We start from the raw sequence: 25281 nt of genomic DNA on the forward strand, positions 1-25281 counted from the left end.
TAAAAGAGAGTATGGGATATAGATGGAATGAATGGTCTCTAATTAAAGGGTTTAAATGCAGCATTCACTTCTGAGGGCATGGGCCAACTGACCAGGATGGCAGCTGTATAAAGCCAAAGAAAACCTAGAATAGAAATAAAACTAAACATAGAAAGGAAAACTGAGGAGAAGGAAGTGTTTGTACTTTTGTCGATGGTCAAGCTGTGCGTGCAGCTGTTTTTATTGCTAAGATGGAATAGGATGGAAGGGATTCAGAAGTGGCTCTCAGGCACCCACAACCAGAAGAAGAGTATAAGTGAGGAAAGCCCCAAAGAGAATGCTCCACCTGTTAAGTCTATTAAAGTTGGCTGAAATCAAAAAGGAGCCAGGAGAAAGACTCTCTTCTGGGCACTAGTATCCCGTGAGTGGCTGCAAGATACTCCTTTCTACTGTGAGAGGGAGATCTCAACTTTGAGCTTGGGAAAGAAAACCATAGACTCACAGTGCTTGGAAGATATTCCCAGCTGTATCGTAATGGAAAGAACAGAAGCTGGGAAAGATGGATTTCAGTGTGGCTCTGCCTCATTCTAGCTATATGACAGCTAGTTATTAGATGTCTTTGAGCTTCAGTCTTCTCGGTAAAAACAAAATCTACTTGGATGGGGAATGCAACCTTTGTTAAAACACAGAATCCTAGAGGATTTAGTGGAGAAAATTAGTAAAAGGAGAATCTGAAGTTTGGGGGGACTATAATAATGGGGTATGAATAATCTGGAATGGCAAGGGCTCTTCAAAATGCCACCACCTGTCCTGATCACTGAGACCAAGTACTGCAAAAGAAGGTGCTGGCCTGGGAGGTCAGGAGGAAGGCGCTGAAGTTCTATTTACCAGCAGGAGACAACACAAATCACATAGGATCCTCATAAGCTACCTAATGTGGCTAACACAGGTGGAAAAATTCCTTAGAATGACGACTTTTAATGCTACCTTTGTGGATAGTCAAGTAGCAAAAATGAAATTTCAGGCAATTATCTTCTTTAAAGGGATCTAACAAAAGGAAAAAAAAAATTCAGGCTGGGCGCAGTGACTCATGCCTGTAATCCCAGCACTTTGGGAGGCTGAGACAGGCAGATCACTTGAGGTCGGGAGTTTGAGACCACCCTGGCCAACATGGCGAAACCCTGTCTCTACTAAAAATACAACAATTAGCCAGGCATGGTGGTGCATGCCTGTAATCCCTGCTACTCAGGAGGCTGAGGCAGGAGAATCACTTGAACCCGGGAGGCAGAGGTTGTAGTGAGCCGTGTTCACACCACTGCACTCCAGCCTGGGCAACAGAACAACACTCTGTCTCAAAAAAAAAAAAAAAAAAAAAAAAAAATTCAAATAAAGAATCAAATTAGGAAGAGTGGGTTCCTAGAAAGGCCAAACTAAAAATGTTTACATGAGCAAACCACAAGACGAATGAATAAAGGCCTGGGGTTAAAAGGATGTCCCAGGGTGTGGAAGAGAACAGATGCTTTGGGAAAGGAAGCTCATGTGCTCAGTCCCATCTGAGAACACCCCATTATGCTACTAAGCTGGAATGAGTATATTTGAAAGCATACTCACGCCAGCTCAGTAGCGTATTCTCCAGAAACGGTGACATGTAGACTTGAACTCATGCTGTTAAAGAGGATGGCATTAAGATCTCTTGTGAGAAGACAACAAGGTTGAGAGCTTTACTCTACATGGCTCTATAGATCCTAAGCTTTTTTTTTTTTTAAAGACAGGGTCCTTTGTGTCACCTAGGCTAGTCTTGGACTCCTGGGCTCAAGCAATCCTCCCAAATAGCTGGAACTACAGGTGTGTGCCACCACTCCTAGCTGATTTTAAGCATTTGAAACAATGATCTTTGATTTCTTCAACACATTGAATCCTCCTCTCCTGAACTCCATTTCTAGACAGATATTTTCATATGTAACTGAACTCAATAAAAAGTGAGTAAAAGTAAAAAACTATTATCATCCATTAACACCTGAGGGGTTCTCTGTCTTGGTTAGGCCTCAACCTCAAGGTCATCTTTAATTCTTCCCCTCTTCCTCATGCCCAAAACCAATCATGAAGTCATTGCTGAGATTTCTATCAAATTATGCCCCATTGCAACTGCCATGGCCACTGCCCTCACACTTCCCTTAAATCCTTCTTGTCTTCCCTAAGCCAGGCTATTCAGAGACACTGGAATTATCTTCCTAAGCACAAATGTCTTTTTTTTTTTTTTTTTTTTTTTTCTGAGACAGAGTCTTGCTCTGTCACCCAAGCTAGAGTGCAGTGGCGTGATCTCAGCTCACTACAACCTTCATCTCCCAGGTTCAAGTGATTCTCCTGCCTCAGCCTCCCGAGTAGCTGGGATTATAGTCATGTGCCACCACACCCAGCTAACTTTTGTATTTTTAGTAGAGACGGGCTTTCACCATGTTGGCCAGACTGGTCTCAAACTCCTGACCTCAACTGATCTGCCCGCCTCGGCCTCCCAAAGTGCTGGGATTACAGGCATGAGCCACCATGCCCAGCCCAAAATATTCTTTAAGAGTTTCTCTTTCCCTAGAGAATCAAGTCCAAACTCCTTAGTATAACATACAAGACTCTAATCTGGCCCAACTTCCATTTTCTTTTCCTTTCTTTTCTACTCAACACAGAGTTCTAGCCACAGCAGAATACCTGCTCTTCCTGGAACATATCCTACATGCTGCTCATTTGCTTACAATGCTCCCTCAGTCTCGGATGTGCATATTTTTAACCGAGGGTCTATCACGTGTCAGGCACTGTTTTGAATGTTGAGATTAAAACCAGGACAAAGTCCCTGTTCTCATGGAGCCTGCATCTCCCACTCATCTCCAAGGACCAGCTCAAATCTACACCTTCCTCAAAGTTCTTCCCAACGACACATGACCATTCACTTCTTCCTTTTTTATACCTCTCCTAGACTAGAGCATTTAGCAGTTTGTCCCGCAACATTTATATACCAGTGTGTCTTCTGGCCTGGCCTATATACTTCTTAGAGGTAGAAAGTAGGTAGTCATTCATCTACAGGGGCTAGCACAGTGCCTCACACATGAAAGAGAATGTTTCTTGAATTACACAAAGTCTATCTCAATCTGCTTCAATTTATATTTTTATTTACATATTTATTTTTGAGACAGGGTCTCACTCTGTTGCCCAGGCTGGAGTGAGTGCAACGGTGATCTTAGCTCACTGCAGTCTGCCTTTCTGGGCTCAAGAGATCCTCCCAGCTCAGCCTCCTGAGTAGCTGAGACTACAGGCAAAAGCCACCATACCTCACTAATTTTTTTCTATTTTTCGTTTAAGACAGGATTTCTCCTTGTTGCCCAGGCTGGTCTTGAACTCCTAGACTTGAGTGATCCTCCTGCCTCAGCCTCCCAAAGTGTTGGGATTGTAGGCATGAGGCATCATGCCTGGCCTCTGCTTCCATTTATGATTTTATTTTATTTTTTAATTTATTATTATTATTATTTTTGAGATGGAGTCTCGCTCTGTTGCCCAGGCTGGAGTGCAGTGGTCGATCTCGGCTCACTGTAAGCTCCGCCTCCCGGGTTCGCGCCATTCTCCTGCGCTCAGTAGCTGGAACTACAGGCGCCCGCCACCACGCCCAGCTAGTTTTTTATATTTTTAATAGAGATGGTGTTTCACCGTGTTAGCCAGGATGGTCTCGATCTCCTCACCTCGTGATCCGCCAGCCTCGGCCTCCCAAAGTGCTGGGATTACAGGCGTGAGCCACTGTGCCTGGCCATTTTATTTTTATTTTTTGACCTGGACTCTTGCTCTGACGCCAAGGCTGGAGTGTAATGGCGGCAATCTCACTGTAGCCTCCTCCCCCGGGGTTCCAGCTATTCTCCTGCCTCTGCCTCCAGAGCAGCTGGGATTACAGGTGCACGCCGCCACACACGGCTGATTTTTGTATTTTTAATAGAGACAGGGTTTCACCATGTTGGCCAGGCTGATCTTGAACTCCTGACCTCAGGTGATCCGCCCACCTTGGCCTCCCAAAGTGCTGGGATTACAGGCGTGAGCCACCACGCCCGGTCAGATTATTAATTTTTGTTGGGTGTAATATGTTGGAGAAAAGTTATATATATATAAAAATATACATAAATATATATATATATATATAATGAGACGGAGTCTTGCTCTGTCACCCAGGCTGGAGTGCAGCAGACGATCTCGGCTCGCTGTAGCTTCCACCTCCTGGGTTCAAACGATTCTCCTGTCTCAGCCTCTCCAGTAGCTGGGACACCAGGCACCCGTCACCACGCCTGGCTAATTTTTGTATTTTTAGTAGAGATAGGGTTTCACCATGTTGGCCAGGTTGGTCTTGAACTCTTGACCTCAAGTGATCTGCCCACCTTGGCCTCCCAAAGTGCTGGGATTACAGGTGTGAGCTACCGCACCTGGCCTAGGTTCTATTTTTTAGAGATTAAACTATGAGTAAAATATTATGTGTTATTTTCTTTAAAATACTTCAGTACAAAAGTATAAAACAAAACAATCTCAGTGACGAAAAACATGGCATATCAGAGAATAATCACTTTCTAGCCTTTGCTAGGTCATGGTTACTTTATCAGTGGGCAGTTCAGGGTCCACCTTCTCTACCACAAAAACTGATGATCCCCCAAAAGCAACGAGTCTTGGGGAAGCCCAACTGGGGGACTCATGCATTCAATGGCACATGGAGAGGGGTCTCTTCTGAAGTGCCTTCCTCCCCATTACATTGTTTTATTCTGTTATTATCAAAGCAAGGAGAAAATTATCAGTTGACCATTCACTATAACACACCAGGAAATTTCCTGGTGGCATAATGAAAATCATCTTGCTTTTGGTTTAGGAAAGATTATACCTCCTTGACTGGAATCACAAATTTTAGGCTTTGCAGCCAATCTGAAAATCAAAAGTTGAATGTTCCACTGAAGTTTCTCCGGCCCACAGGGCAAGGGGGAAAACAGTTCTCCAACAATGAGAATCTTAGCAAATATTTTATTAATACACACTGTCATAGTCCTAGGATAGAAGAGTCCTCAGAACACTGCTCCACATTGAAGATGCTGAAATGGGTGGTCAGGTCCTTAGTCTTCCTTCTAGTCTGTTAATCCCACACTCCTTTAACAGAACCATGCTTGCTGCCCTTACCCTGTCCACATCCCTGAAAGGAAACGGGTCTCTCTCAGCCAGATGCAGATAGTTGACACTCACTGCCTTTGCTATGGCAGGGGGCTCCTTATGATTAACCCAGAACAGGAAAAACTTAGTGTCAGCTGACCGAAAGGAACTCAGCCTTAATTTTTCAAAAAGTCACTCTCATTCCAGCTATCTCCAGGAAGGCGCTGGAGTATCTTCAGCATGAGCACAGAGATTCCCACTGCCGAAATATTCGGAATACTTTCCTTGATTTCTCAGAGAGACTCTGTAGGTAGAAAAGCTTATTATTAGTGATTACGTTCTTTTATAGAGACAAAGGATAGATCATTTGTCCCACAATGATCTGGATATGTCTAGGACTAAGTAAAAATTCATTTTGTAGTATGCTATACATAATGTATACCTAAAGTCAGACTAAAGATCGAGGGGCCAACGTTCTACTGTCAGACTCCTGTTAACACACTCTGAGCCTCTAAGACACGGCTCATATCCTCCCTTCAGGCATCTGTATCTGTCCTCATCTTTGTACTTGAGGATGACACTTCTGACTTGCCGTTAGTACAGCACATGTTTTGCACTGGTTTTTCTTTTTTTTTTTTTTTTTGAGACGGAGTCTCACTCTGTCACCCAGGCTGGAGTGCAGTGGCGCAATCTCGGCTCACTGCAAGCTCTGCCTCCCGGGTTCACGCCATTCTCCTGCCTCACCCAGTAGCTGGGACTACAGGCACCCGCCACCACTCCTGGCTAATTTTTTGTATTTTTAGTAGAGATGGGGGTCTCACCGTGTTAGCCAGGATGGTCTTGATCTCCTGACCTCGTGATCCGCCTGCCTCGGCCTCCCAAAGTGCTGGGATTACAGGCGTGAGCCACCACGCCCGGCCTGCACTGGTTTTTCATTCATGATGCTGAATTGGCCCTAGTTCATTATTTATTGTGAATAAGTACTTATACTTAATGTGATGCCTAGCTGAGGTTAACAGTATAAACCAAGGACAACTAATAAAAACAGAGTTGAATGACCCCTATGAGTTTAAGCTCTGGCCTTGGTCTTCACCGCTTTTATGTTTTAGCCAGCAGTGCTAATAATAGGAAGAATCGCAGTGCCATCTGATCATGCCAATGAAGTACTCTGAGATTCTGAGAAATGGTGGTAAAGGGAGACAAAGTAATTCATTAGGAGACAAAAGCTCTTGGTGAATCAGAACACTTGGTTCTGTCTGCCTTTGAGAGTCACAATGAAGAGCAAGTATTCCACGCAGAAAGGGTCTCAGTGAGAGTACAAAGAATGTCTAGCAAGATGATCCACAGTTACCTCCAGTTTCTCATATGACGCTTTCACAGGTTTTTTTTTTTTTTTTTTTTTTTTTTGAGACAGGTCTCGCTCTGTCGCCAGGCTGGAGTGCTGTGGTGCCATTTCAGCTCACTGCAACCTCTTGACTCCCTGGTTCAAGCGATTCTCCTGCCTCAGCCTCCTGAGTAGCTGGGATTACAGGCATATGCCACCACGCCCAGCTAATTTTTGTATTTTTAGTAGAGATGGAGTTTCACCATGTTGGCCAGGATGGTCTTGATCTCCTGACCTCATGATCTGCCTGCCTCGGCCTCCCAAAGTGCTGGGATTACAGGCGTGAGCCACTGCGCCCGGCCCACTTTCACAGTTTTTTAAAAATCTATCCTCTTTGAGGATGTTTCAATAAGTTCCAGGAGGAAAAAGTTTGAACTCTTACTAATGACTGAGGGAAATTTAGTTAATAGAGTGACAAAGTTGAAAGAAACCTGAGTTGAAAAAATAGTATACACTTTTTTCTTTTTTTTTTTTTTTTGAAAGGGAGTCTCACTCTGTTGCCCACGCTGGAGTGTAGTAGTGCGATCTCGGCTCACTGCAACCTCCACCTCCCAATTCTCCTGCCTCAGCCTCTGGAGTACTGGGATTACAGGTGCACACCAACAGTCCTGGCTAATTTTTGTATTTTCAGTAGAGATGGGGTTTTGCCATGTTGGCCACGCTGGTCTCGAACTCCTGACCTCAGGTGATTCCCCTGCGTCAGCGTCCCAAAGTGCTGGGATCACAGGCATGAGCCACTGTGCCTGGCCTCGGTATATACTTTTTTTTTTCGAACATCAGGATCCTTTACCACACAGTCTCATTAAGCTTTCTAGCTTCGTCACAGCAGCTGTCAGAAGGTTAAGACACACTACCGAAAAAAAAAGTCCTGGAATCCAGGGCCAATTATGAGGCCAACTTTTCCCACTACAAAACAAAAACAAAACCCATAGGCTTTCTTTTTCGTATGGCAGTGACAGAGAGGAGTCTTACTGAAAACTGCCAATGTACTAGTTCCTGAAGATCTAGGCAGAGAAATGCGGATTTTTTTTTCTGTGAAAACTTGGAAAACCTTCACCTGCATATTTACTAAGGGTACTAATATACATTTATTTTTATTTTATTTTTTTTTGAGACAGCGTCTCTCTCTGAAGCCCAGGCTGGAGCGCAACCTCGGCTCACTGCAACCTCCGCCTCCTGGGTTCAAGTGATTCTCCAGCCTCAGCCTCCCCAATAGCTGGGATTACAGGCGCCTGCCACCACACATGGCAAATTTTTTTTTTTTTTGTATTTTGAGTAGAGACGAGGTTTCACCATGTTGGCTAGGTTGTCTCAAACTCTTGACCTCAGGTGATCCATTCGCCTTGGCCTCCCAAAGTGCTAGGATTACAGGCGTGAGCCACCACACCCAGCCATGCAATTTTGGACTTTTAGCATTACTATAGTTCCCTCCAGTGGAATCCTGTAACCCTAGAAAACCATGAATCTAGGAGTGCTGCTCATAAATATCTGCTGACAAGTATTATTTTACTTTGTCCTTGAAAGTTATAGACTACGATCAGAAATTGTTACCAGCTACAAGGAAAATTTGGGAGTGAGCCAGCGAAGGAGAGAACCCAGTTTTCATGGTTCCATATTACCCAGCCTATCACTTCCAATCTTTACACAGAGCAAACACTTGACTTTTCTTCTCAGTTGTCACCCACATTTGTAACCCACAGCAGTTATGGCTGCAATGGCTAGCAGAGTCACAGTCTGGGCTGTGGAACAGAGTAAAGTAATGTGCCCAGCGTGCGGAATGAGGCCATCATCTTGGTGTCAGAGCCCAGTGCTCCAAACAGCTAAGTTAACTGGCCAGGCTCCAAGTGCAAGTGACAGCAAATGAAAGAAAAAGCAGCTGTCTGCAACATGAGGCCGGAGCAGCTGCCTGTTCATCTATTTCTGTTTCCGTACTCCTTTTCTACTTGGAGTCACTTTATTTAGGAGAACAAAAGAATTTATCAGAACTTGACGGAATGCCATATGCTAAACTACAGAAAGACGAACCGGTTCTATGCCTAATCCCTAGGACGAAAGCAGAATGAGTCTAACTTGACGTATAAGCCGGGCACGGTGGCTCACGCCTGTAATCCCAGCACTTTGGGAGGCCGAGGCGGGGGGATCACCTGAGGTCAGGAGTTCGAGACCAGCCTGGCCAACATGGTGAAACCCTGTCTATTAAAAATACAAAATTAGCCGGGTGTGGTGGTGGGCGCCTGTAATCCTAGCTACTTGGGAAGCTAAGGCAGGAGAATCGCTTGACCCAGGAGGCGGAGGTTGCAGTGAGCTGAGATCGTGCCATTGGACTCCAGCCTAGGCAACAAGAACGAGACTCCATCTCAAAAAACAAACAAACAAACAAAAAAACCCAAATAACTTGACGTATGAAAGCTGAAGGCAGGCGGGGTGCTAATTATAGGCCCAGCCTCTGCTCCACCTCCCATAAACAGCAAGTGCTGCCCACACACAAGGCAGTGGCGTATCTCACCATGGAGTCCGTTTCAGCTGGCTGGCTAGACTGTTTGTGCGCCAAGAGGATGGTCAGCACTGCTTTCCAGCCTGGCTCTGCTGGGGCGCTGGCATCTGGTTCAGTTCCACCATTCTCCCTGCTTTCTTTGCCAAGTGTGATATTCACCCAAGGGCACCAGTCTCTATGCTGAGAGGTGGGATCAAAGAAGCTTCGGGAAGATGTGTCCTGAGGAAGGAGAAAAAGAAATAGCATTCATAGGTAGATGCTATGTAAGTTCAGGGAGGCACTGCTGTTAGTTATCAAGTCCAGAATCTCACAACTACCCATACTTCGAGTGTTTATGCTCTCCTTCAAACTTTGCCTACACATTTTCCTCTCATTTTCTTTATTTTTTCACTCCTTTTGTGTTAAACAAACTATACCTTATCACAAGGGATAAGGGATACCCAACCCCCAGGCCATGGATGGGTACCAGGTCGCACAGTAGGAGGTGAACAGCAGGCGGGCAAGCAAAGCTTCATCTGAATTTACAGCTGCTCCCCATTGTTTGCATTACCACCTGAGCTCTGCCTCCTGTCAGATCAGCAGTGGCATTAGATTCTTATAGGAGCAGGAACCCTACTGTGAACTGCACATGAGAGGGATCTAGACTTCGGGCTCCTTATGAGAGTCTGACACCTCATGATCTGTCACTGTTTCCCGTCACCCCCAGATGAGATCATCTAGTTGCAGGAAAACAAGCTGCAGGTTCCCACTGACTCTATATTATGGTGAGTTGTACAATTATTTCATTATATATTACAATATAATAATAATAGAAATAAAGTACACAATACATGTAATGTGCTCGTATCATCCCGAAACCATCCTCCCAACCGTGGTCCGTGGAAAAATGGTCTTCCATGAAAACGGTCCCTGGTGCCAAAAAGGTTGGGGACCGCTGCCAGATCAGGTTTGTCCCTGTATCACACCGTTGTTCCATTTGCCTGAAATATCTATTATTTCTCCAGAATCCACTCCAAAGGAACAAAAAGGAGCAAAAAACATGACTGACATTTTTTCCCTTTGGTCATCCAACTTTAAATTTATTCACATGGTCTACTTTTTGCATTGGACCACGGAAGGGCTCCTGCCTGCTTCTCCATGCTGCCTAGGGAGGGCCCAATATGCTGTTTATGCTCAGCCACTGCTACATGCGAGGTGGACTCACCGAACTGCTGGAGGAGCAGAGGCGAGCTCGCTTGGCTTTCCGCAGAGGGCTAGATGGTACCTCCAGGCCAGGGGTGTCTCCTGTTCCCATGCTTCGGGTCACTGGGCGAGTTCTGGTGGTGGGGCTAGCAGCCTCTGGCTCAGGACGGTCAACAGGACTGGAAGAGTCCCAGCTCCGAGTTCGAGAGACAATGGGACCAGGGCTCTTTTCAGCCTGAAGGAAAGGGGAGATAATGGAAGTACACGAATGATATTAATGATTATGGTCAGAAATACTTCTTTCTTTAATCTTTTTTCTTTTTTTTTTTGAGACAGAGTCTCGCTTTGTTGCCAAGGCTGGAGAGCAGTGAGGCGATCTTGGCTCATGGCAACCTCTGCCTCCCGAGTTCAAGTGATTCTCCTGCTTCAGCCTCCCAAGTAGCTGGGATTACAGGTGCCTGCCACCACACCTGGCTAATTTTTGCATTTTTGGTAGAGACGGGGTTTCACCATGTTGGCCAGGCTGGTCTCAAACTCCTAACCTCAAGTGATCTGCCTGCCTCAGTCTCCCAAAGTGCTGGGATCATAGGCGTGAGCCACCGGGTCTGGCTGAATTTAGCTTCCCCATTAGTGAACAGAAACACTATGTGGTATCGTAACCAATGTAGTGGGAAGAGAAGCCTATCCACCTAAATTAATTTCCAACTTTCTACCAACAACACTTTTGCCAAGAATGTTGTTTAAAATTCCACCCCAAATAAGCTAAGTGAATACCTGCTCTGAGCCTGGGGAGAAAGTGGCATCCTGGCTCCGGGTCATCATCCTCCGAGGAGATTCAGGCACCAGAGGTAAGCGCTCTGGTCGCCCCTCAAGGCCTGGGATTGGGGAGCTGGTCAGGCCAAAGGATGCATCCAGGTCAGTCATGGACGATTCAATCTGCTGGAAGCCCCAGAGCCCCACCTTCCTCATACATTGCGAACATGTTATCAGGGAGAGCTGCATGGATTCCAAAGAGGAACTAGATAGGAATGAAAAAGAGAGTTTTCTCAAAGTGTAACATTTCCAAATGACTAAGTGCAATGTCTTGTGAGTATGCCTTATCTCATCCAATTTCTGGAACAGTCACCATGTCCTATCAGAGCCTCTGTGCTCCAGTCTCAGGACCCAGCTTCATACTTCATCATCTCTCACATATTTCCCATAGAAAGACCTCGGGTTCTTAGTGTGCTCTCTATGGTAAGACTGTTTTGCAGGCATGTTTTAAAAGTTTCTCGGCCGGGTGCAGTGGCTCATGCCTGTAATCCCAGCACTTTGGGAGGCCAAGGTGGGTGGATCACCTGAGGTCAGGAGTTCGAGACCAGCCTGACCAACAACAACAACAACACAAAAAGTTTCTCCTGTCCCTCTTTTTTTTTTTTTTTTTTTTTTTTTTTTGAGTCAGAGTTTTGCTCTTGTTGCCCGGGCTGGAGTGCAATGGTGCGATCTCAGCTCACTGCAACCTCCGCCTCCCAGGTTCAAGTGATTCCCCTGCCTCAGCCTCCTGAGTAGCTGGGATTACAGGCACCCGCCACCATGCCCGGCTAATTTTTGTACTTTTGGTAGAGATGGGGTTTCACCATGTTGGCCAGGCTGGTCTCGAATTCCTGACCTCAGGTGATCCACCCGCCTTGGCCTCCCAAAGTGCTGGGATTAAATAAGTGTGAGCCACCGTACCCACCCTCTCTTGTCCCTCTTAAAGTCTTTTCCCTTTAAACAAAAAACATTCCTTAATCTACCAAAGAGAGCATATTTAAAATACATCAAGATTTATTTACTGTCAGAACCAATCTTGATGTATTTTAAATATGCTCTCTTTGGTAGATTAAGGATAGTGGGAGTCTATGCCAAATTGAGCAGCTGGAATGGAAATAGCAACATGGGGGCCTAGAAGACTCCAGCTGGTGTTTCCTATGGTAGTTTTTATCAATTAAGCGGATTTTTCTTCCTTTCTAAAAATAGAAAAGAACTTCCTTTCTATTTTTCCTTCTTAAAAATAGAAAAGAGCTTATTTTCTTTCCATTTTTAGAAAGGAGGTTCACTGTTTATAGAACACAAATTCAGCCTGGTGTGGTGGCTCACGCCTGTAATCCCAGCACTTTGGGAGGCCGAGGCAGGCAGAACACGAGGTCAGGAGATCAAGACCATCCTGACTAACACGGTGAAACCCCGTCTCTACCAAAAATACAAAAAATTAGCTGGGCGTGTGGCAGGCACCTATAGTCCCAGCTACTCGGGAGGCTGAGACAGGAGAATGGCGTGAACCCGGGAGGCGGAGCTTGCAGTGAGCTGAGATCGCGCACGCCACTACCCTCCAGCCTGGGCAACAGAATGAGACTCCGTCTCAAAAAAAAAAAAAAAAAAAAAAAAGAGAACACAAATTCCCAGTTAAGAAGCAACAGTACAAGAAACAAAGTTCAGTTGTGAACACCAAGAATTCCTGAATTCCAATTCTGGTTTTGTTACTAATTCTTATTATCCATTCTCCTCGCACCATCCCCCACCCAGTTTTTCTTTGTCTCTTTTTCTCACGGGAAACACCATGTGATTTCTAAATACGATTAGTGACTGATATATATGGGTGTAATGCTGTTGTCATGGTTCATGTCTCCAGGCAAAATCTGCTGACTCACCTACACGCCCAGCCACACACAGAGAGAATACAGGCAGTGACGTGGACTTGGATGTCTGAGCCTAATTTGATTGTAGTTTTTCTCTCATCAGTTCGGTGATCAAGTTCATCTTCAAGCAAGTGTAGGAGAAGACTGATCTTGTCTTCTGTCAAGCACTACAAGGGAGCCAAGTAAAAAACTTCGTTTCAACCACCATAAAAAGAAAAATTACACATTATAACATACCTAGATGGTACAAGCCGAAAATCAGGAAGGAAATTACAAACATGAAGATACTTCTCTTCACAGAGAACAAAATACTTCCAGGGACAGGGCTATAGTATCACACAGAAGCTTTCTGAATTGCCCTGAATCTGCTGACTGAGAAAGATGGAGTCTCCCTGGAACTGCCAAAACTCTTGTTAGTACTAAATTGTTCAATTTACCAGCTGCAGATTTTCCCTGAAACCTGCAAACTTCAAACCCAAATAGTGAAGACAAATTACTGCTTATGTCTTAGCCTGACACTAAATTTACTTAAACATTAAAGAGGCCAGGCGTGGTGGCTCACGCCTGTAATCCCAGCACTTTGGGAGGCCGAGGCAGGTGGATCACAAGGTCAGGAGATCGAGACCATCCTGGCTAACATGGTGAAACCCCGTCTCTACTAAAAATACAAAAAAATTGGCCGGGCGTGGTGGCGGGCACCTGTAGTCCCAGCTACCCTGGAGGCTGAGGCAGGAGAATAGCGTGAACCTGGGAGGCGGAGCTTGCAGTGAGCTGAGATTGCACCACTGCACTCCAGCCTGGGCGAATGAGCAAGACTCCGTATCAAAAAAAAAAAAAAAAAAAAATTAAAGAAAAAAAAATTTTAGAGATGGGGTCTCACTATGTTGGCCATGCTGGTCTTGAACTCCTGAGCTCAAGCAATCCTCCCACCTCAGCCTCCTGAGTAGCTGGGACTACAGGCATACATCACTGTGCCCCAGGCTCTAAATTTACTTTTTGACAGAACAACAAAGCTCGTTAGACTTTATTTTTGTTCTAAGAAAAATAAGGAACTATGACCAGGTGGAAAAAAAAAATTGCCTTGGCTAGGGACAGGGTTATATTCATAAGCATCAGAGGTTAATAGTTTCAGTCTATGGCCATACCACCCTGAACGCGTCCAGTCTCATCTCATCTCGGAAGCTAAGCAGGGTCAGGCCTGGTTAGTACTTGGAGGGGACTTTGGGAGGTTAACAGTTTGATGCTAAAACCCATACCACTCTCTTAATTTGAAGAGGCTACTATTTCCTACAGTAAAGCTTGTCTTCATGGAGTACCCATAGGGTGATTAAATGGAACAGTAAATATTCAGTTTCAAAGTACAGATTGACTAGAGCATTTATTTTATTTTTGAGATGGAGTTTCGCTCTTGTTGCCCAGGCTGGAGTGCAATGGTGCGATCTCGGCTCACTGCAACCTGTCTCCCAGGTTCAAGCAATTCTCCTGCCTCAGCCTCCCAGGTAGCTGGGACTACAGGCATAAACTACCATGTCCGGCTAATTTTTTGTATTTTTAATAGAGACGGGGTTTCACCATGTTGGCCAGGCTGGTCTCGAACTCCTGACCTCAGGTGATCTACCCACCTCAGCCTCCCAAAGTGCCGGGATTACAGGCATGAGCCACTGTGCCCGGGCTGACTACAGCATTTAAACATTTCTACTCACAAGGAGAAAGGAGTTTGTTACTTTCTTTGAAAAATGATGGCCGGGTGTGGTGGCTCACATCTGTAATCCCAGCACTTTGGGAGGCCGAGGTGGGCGGATCACGAGGTCAGGAGATCTAGAACATCCTGCCCAACACAGTGAAACCCTGTCTCTACTAAAATTACAAAAATTAGCTAGGCGTGGTCGCACGTGCCTGTAATCCCAGCTACTTGGGAGGCTGAGACAGAAGAATCGCTTGAACCCAGGAGGCGGAGGTTGCAGTGAGCCAAGATCACCACTGTACTACAGCCTGGCGACAGAACAAGACTCTGTCTCAAAAAAAAAAAAAAAAAAAAAAAAAAAAAAAAAAAAAGATATGCAATAAACCATATGCAGTCACATTTCAGTATTTTCTGTTAAATAGTTTAAGTAGGCTGGGTGTGCCGGCTCATGCCTGTAATCCCAGCACTTTGGGAGGCCGAGGCAGGTGGATCACCTGAGGTCAGGAGTTTGAGAACGGCCTGACCAATATGGTGAAACCCCGTCTCTACTAAAAATACAAAAATTAGCCAGGTGTGGTGGCAGACGCCTGTAATCCTAGCTACTCAGGAGGCTGAGGCAGGAGAATTGCGTGGACCTGGGAGGTGGAGGTTGCAGTGAGCCGAGATTACACTATTGCACTCCAGCCTGGGTGACAGAAAGAGACTCGGTCTCAAAATAATAATAATAATAATTTAAGTAATAAATCAAGATAAAACTGAATTTATGGGAAGCATATATTCAGGGCAAACTTGAATCTATGCTTCCAGGTTACAGCCCTAAAACTTGGCCCAAATAAACTGCTTATATACATATATGTTAAATTGAATCTATGCCATTTAAAAAAACATACCTAAACATTCAAATGGAACTCTCAACTGTCACCTTCCTGGTGGAGACTGAAAAGGTCAGATGAGAGACAGACAAGCAGTTCTCTTCACAGCAATTGCATCTTCTTGTCATTAAAAGAAATGCTTCAGGTATAAATGCTGGCAACAACTGGAGGCCATTGCAGCCTAGTCAGGAAAAACTCACCATAGTTTTCAAGTCCTCCGGCCTTAGGGAAGGAAGCTGGAGGTCCAAGTGACAAAGGCTTTGAAAACGATCTAGGAATTCACTAACAAGAATAGCAGGCTCATCCAGGGGCAACATCCCAAATCGGTCTGTGGAAAAAGTAAATTGGAAGATTATATTGGTGTAAACTGTAAAAAATAAAAAACACGGCTGGGCATGGTGGCTCATACCTGTAATCCCAGCACTTTGGAAGGCCGAGGCGGGCGGATCACCTGAGGTCAGGAGTTCAAGACCAACCTAGCCAACCTAGAAACCCCTGTCTCAGCCTCCTTTAATACAAAAAATTAGCCAGGCATGGTGGCGCGTGCCTGTAATCCCAGCTACTCGGGAGGCTAAGACAGGAGAATCACTTGAACCCAGGAGGCAGAGGTTGCAATGAGGCTGAGATCGTGCCACTGTGCTCCAGCCTGGGCAACAGAGAGAGACTCTGTCTCAAAAAATAATAATAAAATAAAATAAATAAAAAACACATATTGAATGATTGAGGAAATATAGTAAAATTGATGAGCTATTTGATGGTGTCAGGAAATTATTGTTTTTCATTTTGATGGGGCTGTAATGATACTACTGAGACCATGTTTAAAAAGTAGAATCCATATTTTTTATATTTTGAAATATTTAGATAAAATGGCATATGTGGGACTGAACTTCAAAACAATGCAGAGGGGCAGGGTGTTAGGTGTTAGGAATATAGAAGAAACAAGATCGGCCATGAGTTGATCATTGTTGAAGTTGAGTGATGGGGTTTCATTATTTATACTATTCCGTGTACTTCTATATATGTGTGAAATTGTTACCTTAAGAAAGAGAAAACAGAACAGAGTTAGTGGAGATGGATGCTTAAATAGGTGAAAAGTCTTAAAGAACCATCATTTTATAACTACCAAGTTATAACTTACTGTGAGCTAAGAATGAAAAAAATGGCATGTTCCTAAAGTCTACACAAGAGATACAAAAAGGCTTGCATTGTAAGGTGAAGCTTAACTGGGTACCAGAGTAAATAAAGTATACAATTAGGAATTCTACTGGTAATACCTAAGTTGGAAAAGAAGGAATCTGCCTGAAATCTAAGCAGTGTGGAAACTGATTATATACTATAGTATAATTATCTCTGGCATTACCCAATTCATCTACTGCATACTTGGTACACTGGTACAAAGGCAAATGATGAGTGCAGAAAGGCCTTGCTAAGCTACTTCCTAAAGAGGTCAGTCTAGTAGGCCTAGAATGAAGTAGAAGCTACACTGAATCAGCCTTTTTTTTTTTTTTTTTTTCCGAGACAGAGTTTTTGCTCTGTCGCCCAGGCTGCAGTGCAATGGTGCGATCACGGCTCACTGCAACCTCTGCCTCCCAGGTTCAAGCAATTCTCCTGCCTCAGCCTCCTGAGTAGCCGGGATTACAGGTGCCTGACACCACACCTGGTTAATTTTTCTATTTTTAATAAAGACAGGGTTTCATCATGTTGGCCAGGCTGATCTTTAACTCTTGGCCTCAGGTGATCCACCCACCTTGGCCTCCCAAAGTGCTGAGATTACAGGCGTAAGTCACCACGCCCAGCCCTGAATCAGCTTTAATAAAGAATGAAAACACGTTTTGGAAGGGATTCATAGGAAAAGTGAAGAGAGAACATGTCATCCTAGCCTGATCGTCTAAAAAGTAGGAAGCCACTCGAGTCACTGGTCTTCTCTCAGCCTCAAATTGACATTTAGTTGCTCAACAAAGTCACTCATAATCTTTTTTTTTTTTTTTGAGACAATCTCGCTGTTGCCCAGGCTGGAGTGCAGTGGCGTGATCTCGGCTCACTGCAGGATCCGCCTCCTGGGGTTCACACCATTCTCCTGCCTCAGCCTCCCGAGTAGCTGGGACTACAGGCGCCCGCCACTGCGCCTGGCTAATTTTTTATATTTTTAGTAGAGACGGGGTTTCACCGTGTTAGCCAGGATGGTCTCGATCTCCTGACCTCATGATCCGCCTGCCTCGGCCTCCCAAAGTGCTGGGATTACAGGCGTGAGCCACTGCGCCCAGCCCATTTTGTGATGTTTTAACTCTTGTTTCCATCTTCCCTTCCCCAGCTCAGCTCTGTGGTAGCCTTGAAAACCGACATCCCAGCGGGGCGTGGTGGCTCACACCTGTAATCCTAGCACTTTGGGAGGCCAAGGTGGGTGGATCACCTGAGGTCGGGAGTTTGAGACCAGCCTGACCAGCATGGAGAAACCCCGTCTCTACTAAAAATACAAAATTAGCCAGGCATGGTGGCGCATGCCTGTAATCCCAGCTACTCGGGAGGCTGAGGCAGAATCGCTTGAACCCGGGAGGCGGAGGTTTGGTGAGCTGAGATTGCGCCATTGCACTCCAGCCTGGGCAACAGAGCAAAACTCCATCTCAAAAAAAAAAAAAAAAAACAGAAAACCAACATCCCCACAATCATGGTGAAAACCAGTAGCTTAGCAGTCACCGGAGAGCACAGAAAAGAGGTGGAGCTCCTCCAAAGCCCCATTCCAGAGAACCACCATTATTTGATCTGTGTGGCAGTTGCCTAGAACATTATACTGTCGCAGTGAGAACACCCTTTTCCCCAGACAGGTTTTCAAAAATGATCATTGGCAACTGTTTAACATCACAGTTGCTTTGAGGCAGCAGTATGAGTTGGAGCAAGTAACAAGCTGACCAAAAACCTTAAAAGCTGGGAAATGAAATGTCCATAGGCAGGCTTGAAAGGCTCTGACATATTCCCTGGAATCTAGAAGGACATGTGCAGGTATAGAGCTATACACATGCCCAGCAAAGACCTGAAAAGGCCCTAAGCTCTCTCATCTCTGGCTGATGCTGAGGTTCTGCACAAGCAGGAAGTGAAGGCTAACACAGAACTGCAAACTGCCTGCTTGACTACTGAAGGTGTGCTCCCCCCACCACACACAGAGCTCCTTGGCAAGACTGGGGGACTTATTTGTTCAGGCATTTAAAGAAATCTCTGTCCAATCGTCCTGTGAAAGTTGATTTTGAGGCCGGGCACAGTGGCTCACGCCTGTAATCCCAACACTTTGGGAGGCCGAGGTGGGCGGATCACGAGGTCAGCAGTTCAAGACCAGCCTGGCCAACATGGTGAAACACTGTCTCTACTAAAAATACAAAAATTAGCCAGGCATGGTGGTGGGTGCCTGTAATCCTAGCTACTCGGGAGGCTGAGGCAGGAGAATTGCTTGAACCTGGGAGGTGGAGGTTGCAGTGAGCCGAGACCACGCCATTGCACTCCAGCCTGGGCAACAGAACAAGATTCCCTCTAAAAAAAAAAAAAAAGTAAGTTGATTTTGATAATTTTTGTAAGTGTTCTTTTTGCTCTCATAGAAGATTTTCAGATGCCCTTCCTCCACCATCCCCACTGAAGACATCCTACACAGATTGAGACAAGAAACATGAATTTGAGGCCAGGTACAGTTGCTCATGACTGTAATCCTAACATTTTGGGAGGCTGAGGTAGGAGGATCACTTGAAGCCAGGAGTTTGAGATCAGCCTGGGCAATATAGTGAGACCCCATCTCTACCAAAAAAAAAAAAATTAGCTGGATGTGGTGGCATACGCCTGTAGTCATAGTTACTCAGGAGGCTGAGGCAGGAGGATTGCTTAAGCCCAGGAATTCAAAGCTGCAGTGAGCTATGATTGTGCCACTGCACTGTAGCCTGGGAGAGAGAGAGAGAGGAGAGAGAAACGTGTACTTGATAGAAGAAATGGAAGGAAGGAAGGAAGGAAGGAAGGAAGGAAGGAAGGAAGGAAGGAAGGGAAGGAGGGAGGGAGGGAGGGACAGTAAGAGGGGAAGGGGGGAAGGGAAGGAGGGAAGGGAGGGAGGGGAGGGAAGGAAAGGAAGGGAAGGAAAAGAAAGAAGGGAAGGAAGGGAAAGATGGGAAGGAGGGGAAGGAGGGAGGGAGGAAGGGAGGGATGGACTACCTGATAGAAGAAATAATACTTACAAATATATCAGTGCTCTCCTGCTTACTAAAATTAATTTTTAAAATTAATTATTATTAGCCAGGTGGCACTTGTAAACCCAGCTACTCTGGATACTGAGGCAGAAGTATCACTTGAGCCCAAGAGTTCAAGGTCAGTCCGGGCAATAGAGAGAGACACCATCTTTTTCCTTTGCTGCAGTGCAGTGGTGCAATCATGGCTCGCCACAGCCTTAACCTCCCAAGCTTACGCGATCTTGCCACCTCAGCTTCCCGAGTAGCTGGGAACACAGGTATGCGTAACCATGCCCAGCTAATTTTTTGTATTTTTTGTAGAGATGGGGTTTTACTATATTGTCCAGGCTGGTCTTGAATTCCTGGACTCAAGCAATCTGCCCACTTCAGCCTCCGAAAGTGCTGGGACTACCCTGGCTGCATTTTAGTTTAATTGTAATGATTATTCTCTTATTTGAGTTTCAGATATTCACAAGTGGGGTAATGGATCTCCTTTAAGCTGGCTATTCTATTCTTTTAGCATTGTCTGTAGCATTTCTATAGCATTCTTTTTTTTTTTTTTTTTTTTTTTTTGAGACGGAGTCTTGCTCTGTCGCCCAGGCTGGAGTGCAGTGACACGATCCCGGCTCACTGCAACCTCTGCCTCCCAGGTTCAAGCAATTCTCCTGCCTTAGCCTCCCCAGTAGCTGGGACTACAGGCACGTGCCACCATGCCTGGCTTGTTTTTTGTATTTGCAATAGAGATGGGGTTTCACTGTGTTAGCCAGGATGGTCTCAAACTCCTGACCTCGTGATCTGCCTGCCTCGGTCACCCAAAGTGTTGGGATTACAGGCGTGAGCCACCACGCCTGGCCTGTCTGTAGCATTCTTGAAAGCATTCTTGCTTTCTAGCAACAACAGGATATTCTGGATCCAAGTTGATTTATTGTCCTTGCCCCAAGACATGGAATCAGCAACTCTCCAAAGAGCCTGATCCTTTTAATCACAGTAGACTAAAATGAGGGACCAAAATCTGGTTGCTAACAATGCAAAGAATTGTGGGCAGAAGTGCTGCTGTTACTACATTTGGGCCCCTTCTAATAGCAAAACTGGAAAAGATATTTTTTTAAACAGCCTTACTGAGGTCTAATTGACATAAACTGCACATGTTTGATAAGTTTTAACGTGCACATCCATGTAGCCATCACTGCTAGGTTTCTATTTTAACACCTTGAGTTTATAATTTATTTTCCCAATTTAATGCCGCATATTATTCTATCCTGTTTTTCTTTCATTTCCTTTTTTTTTTTTTTTAAGAGACAGGGTCGGCAGGGCATTTTGGCTCAAGCCTGTAATCCCAGCACTTTGGGAGGCCGAGGCGGGCGTATCACGAGGTCAGGAGATTGAGACTATCCTGGCTAACACGGTGAAACCCCGTCTCTACTAAAAATACAAAAAATTAGCCGGGTGTGGTGGCGGGCGCCTGTAGTCCCAGCTACTGGGTTGGCTGAGGCAGAAGAATGGCGTGAACCCGGGAGGCAGAGCTTGCAGTGAGCCGAGACCCTGCCACTGCACTCTAGCCTGGGCGACAGAGCGAGACTCCGTCTCAAAAAAAAAAAAAAAAAAAAAAAAAAAAGAGACAGGGTCTTGCTCTGTCATGCAGGCTGGAAGGCAGTGACATGATTATAGCTCACTATAACTTGGAATTCCTGGGTTAAAGGGATCCTCCTGCTTCAACCTCACGAGTAGCTTAGGATGACAGGGGTATGCCACCACATCTGGCTAATTTTAAAAAATTTTTTCTTTGTAGAGACAGGGTGCCCAGCCTGGTCCCAAACTCCTGGCCGCAAGTGATCCTCCCACCTTGGCCCTGCAAAACACTGGGATTACAGGCATGAGACTCCATGCCTGGCTGGGGTTATTACTTTAAGTCCTTTTATGTCTTCTAAGTTTAGTTCTTTGCCTCAAGACTTACCCCTTGCAGTTTGTACTCTACCCTAGTTCATGTTATCTATAACATCTCTTCCTTCAAAAAATCTCGTAGCTTCTCATCACATACATTTAATAAAATCATGGTTTGGCCACTGTCTACACTTTAGTCTTCTCTTCTATTCTCCCCACAGGGACACTGTGAGCCAGCCCTGTGAAACTATTACAGCATTCCCCAAATGTACCATCCTTTGGCCTTTTGCTTTTACCCACTGTTGCTGGTCTTTCAAATTCAGCCTAGAGGCCAGGCACAGTGGTTCACGCTTGTAATCATAGCACTTTGGGAGGCCGAGGAGAGTGGATCATTTGAGGTCAGCAGTTCAAGACCAGCCTGGCTAATATGGTGAAACCCCGTCTCTACTAAAAATACAAAACTTAGCCAGGTGGTAGCGGCATGCACCTGTAATCCCAGGTACTCGGGGGTGCTGAGGCAGAAGAATCGCTTGAGCCTGGGAAGCAGAGTTTGTGGTGAGCTGAGATCAAGCCACTGCACTCAAGTCTGGGCAACAGAGTGAGACTGTCTCAAAAAAAAAAAAAAAAAAACAGCCGAGTGAAGTGGCTTCCTTCTTCAAAAAATCTCGTAGTTTCGCACCTGAACCTGGGAGGCGGAGGTTGCAGTGAGCCCTGTGAAACTATTCAGCATTCCCCAAATATATCAGCACTTTTTTTTTTAATGGAGTCTCACTGTGTCGCCCAGGCTGGGGTGCAGTGTTCAAGCGATTCTCCTGCCTCAACATCCCCTAGTAGCTGGGATTACAGGCATGTGCCACCACGCCCGGCTAATTTTTTTGTATTTTTAGTAGAGATGGGGTTTCACCACATTGGCTAGGCTGGTCTCGAACTCCTGACCTTGTGGTCCTCCCGCCTTGGCCTTCCAGACTGCTGGAATCACAGGTGTGAGCCATCACGCCTCGCCACTTTGCCTTTTTTCTTGGACTGTATTGCAGAATGTGGATTTGGAGCAAGTGGTCCTGAAGCACTTATTTTGTCACCCACAGATTAAGATTTTCCTCCACAGGCTACACTTGAAGGTCTCAACACTTTGAAGTCTCCTCTTATGGGGCATCCAGTCTAACCCTCTGGCTTGCTACTTAGCAATGGGTGTTCTGTGATGGGGTGATTTGGAAGGAAGGAGTCTGCCCCTTTCTGAGCCACAACAGTGAAGCCATTTGATCTGAGCCTAGGTGGGAGAGATATTTTAATAGATAAACATTCTAGCTTTGATTTTTCTGAAGAGTAATATGCCTGTTTTTTTTTTTTTTTCCGCAATTCAGGGGATTTTCTTTGGTGCACTTGTTGACTCTGCATGAATTTGCAATCCAAGGGAAAAGTTGGAGAAAGAACAAAGTTGGCTTTAAAAGTCAAGGTAAGGCTGGGAGTGGTGGCTCACGCCTGTAATCCCAGCACTTTGGGAGGCAGAGGCAGGTGGATCACCTGAGGACAGAAGTTCAAGACAGCCTGGCCAAAATGGTGAAACCTCGTCACTACTAAAAATAACACTTTGGGAGGCTGAGGCAGGAGAATCGCTTGAACTCAGGAGGGAAAAATTAGCCAGGCATGGTGGCGGGCACCTGTAATTCCAGCTACTCGGAAGGCTGAGGCAGGAGAATTGCCTGAACCCAAGAAGCGGAGGTTGCAGTGAGCCAAGATCGCGCCACTGCACTCTAGCCTGGGTGACAGAGTGAGACTCCATCTCAAAATAAAAAATAAAATAAAATAAAATAAAATGTTTAAAGAAATTTAATTTAGCTTATAATTATTGGCAAATGTTAGAAAAAAATTACCTTCAAAATTATTAGTTTTGCTTAATAAATTTAAGCATAAAGTGAAATAACTGAGTGTTCTTTTATCCACACAAATGTCCTTTGAATGTTAAAGAACCAAACCAAGGGATCATATAATTGAAAGGTTATATCTAAGATCCATGTAGGAGGTAGAATGGATAGGTCAAAGTGGGTGACCATAGAGAAGAGCATCTAAAGTGACTTTCAGGTTTCTGGCTAGGACAACTGGATGGGACGTCAGTGCCATTTGCCAAGATGGAGAAAGTTTTAGGTATAAGATGAAGAGTTCAGTTTTATACACATTGAGTTCCAGGTACCTATAATATTAAGTGGAAATGTTTAGAAGGTAGATGAAAATATGAGTCAAGCTCAAAAGAGAGGTCTGGATAGGAATTAGAGGTCTCCGAGGTGGTAGCTGAAGTTATGAATGAGATCAGGAAAGCAAAATGTACGGTGACAAGAGTTGGGAACCACCAATAGAGCCCTGGGCAGACCTTAAAAACTTGGACGGCCAGGCGCGGGGGCTCACGCCTACAGGCCTCCCAGCAATTCTGGAGGCCAAGGCAGGCGGATCACTTGACGTCAGGAGTTCAAGACCAGCCTGGCCAACATGGTGAAACCCTGTCTCTACTAAAAATACAAAAATTAGCTGGGTGTGGTGGCACGCGCCTGTAGTCCCAGCTACTCGGGAGGCTGAGGCAGGAGAATTGCTTGAACCCAGGAAGCAGAGGTTGCAGTGAGCCTAGACTGAGCCATTGCAGCACTCCAGCCTGGGCGACAGAGCAAGACTCCGTCTCAAGGAAAACAAACAAACAAACAAACAAACAAACTTGGACTGAGTGCACTAGACAAGGATGGAATCAAATCCTCATAGGACCAAGTTTTGTTATACAATACAGGTAAATAACTAGTAAATCCTAGCTATTTCAACAGCAGGAAATCCTTATTATACAATCATCTTCACTTAAACAATTTTATTTAATAATCCCTTTTCTACCACCCTTTCATTGATCAAAGGTAGAGGGGAATCTCTGGTTATTTTCAATCTATTTTCTCCTTTTAGTGGTAAATCATGGAATATTCTTAGCCATCAGTGACCCTGGAATTAGCCTGCCATCCTACTGAAATAAAAAATATACCTACATGGCACTGATTCCTGGTCAAGGCATGAAATATACAGATGAATAGTGTTGCTTTTTAACTATGGGTCTAAAGAATTTTTTTATACTTGCTCTTAGATTCCCCACCAGAGGGCTCTGCTGTTGAAGCTGTTTACTCAGCAGGAATATGCCTATGTGATCAACAAAATATTTTTTATTTTTCATAGAGATGAGGTCTTACTATATTTATTGCTCAGGCTGGTCTCAAACTCCTAAACTCAAGCAATCCTCCTGTCTTGGCCTCCCAGTGTTAGGATTATGGTTGGGAGCAACTGTGCCTGGCCAAAGAACAAAATATTTTTAAAAACCCAGTTGAGATTACACTTTGGGCTCTCTTATTCCAAAGTGTTCTGTGCACACATCAGTAGTTCCTGATTCAAGGGAGAGTATGTCCTCTCATGGCCCTTATATAGACAGGAAATAGGAGGTTGGACCTGGCCTTCCCAGACAGGCAGCCTGTGGCTGTAATGACACCCTTACTTCAGTGCTGCTGTGATAGTGTACTGTTTTACTGCAATAAACTGCAGATTTGTGATCACTCTCACTTGGGGTCCTGTGAGTCTTCTTCAGCAAATGAACCCTGTTTAACTTCCACCATTATTGCTGTTAGTACTCCCTCTACAGGAAACCTAGGTAGAACATGGCATTGCTTGGTGTGGTGGGAAAAGCGGAGGGTTTGAAATCAGATTAAACTTAGTTATAGCTTCTCTCTAGTTGGTTTTAAGACCTCTGATTCTTAGTTTCCTCACCTAAATGAACTGGGTTAT

At 45.1% G+C, this 25281-nt stretch overlaps 1 protein-coding gene, 1 long non-coding RNA gene and 1 pseudogene across 11 annotated transcripts in view; 2 read left to right on the top strand and 1 right to left on the bottom strand.

The window, feature by feature from the left end:
- Positions 1-13017, top strand: part of UBE2H-DT (UBE2H divergent transcript) — a 73246-nt gene extending 60229 nt beyond the window's left edge. Inside the window, exon 4 of the long non-coding RNA XR_007060520.1 lies at positions 12954-13017. This is a non-coding gene — a long non-coding RNA (UBE2H divergent transcript). The remainder of the gene's footprint in view (positions 1-12953) is intronic.
- ZC3HC1 (zinc finger C3HC-type containing 1) overlaps positions 4991-25281 on the bottom strand; it is a 33166-nt gene continuing 12875 nt past the window's right edge. For 3 of the 10 annotated variants that reach the window (XM_047420454.1, NM_001363701.1, XM_047420453.1), the window contains 6 exons: positions 15607-15734; positions 12863-13017; positions 10968-11082; positions 10216-10428; positions 9024-9230; positions 4991-5437 (listed from right to left, as the gene is read on the bottom strand). In XM_047420454.1, the coding sequence (XP_047276410.1) occupies positions 5369-5437; positions 9024-9230; positions 10216-10428; positions 10968-11082; positions 12863-13017; positions 15607-15734 (887 nt within the window). In that variant the 3' untranslated portion in view covers positions 4991-5368. Of the gene's footprint in view, positions 5438-9023; positions 9231-10215; positions 10429-10967; positions 11212-12862; positions 13018-15606; positions 15735-15815; positions 15835-25281 lie in introns of those variants that run through there. The other 7 variants (XM_005250403.4, XM_011516288.4, XM_011516290.3 and 4 more) reach the window with 4 other exon arrangements.
- Positions 13982-14102, top strand: RNA5SP245 (RNA, 5S ribosomal pseudogene 245; annotated as a pseudogene).

The sequence above is a fragment of the Homo sapiens genome, chromosome 7 (assembly GCF_000001405.40).
Source record: "Homo sapiens chromosome 7, GRCh38.p14 Primary Assembly".
Taxonomy (NCBI): domain Eukaryota; kingdom Metazoa; phylum Chordata; class Mammalia; order Primates; family Hominidae; genus Homo; species Homo sapiens.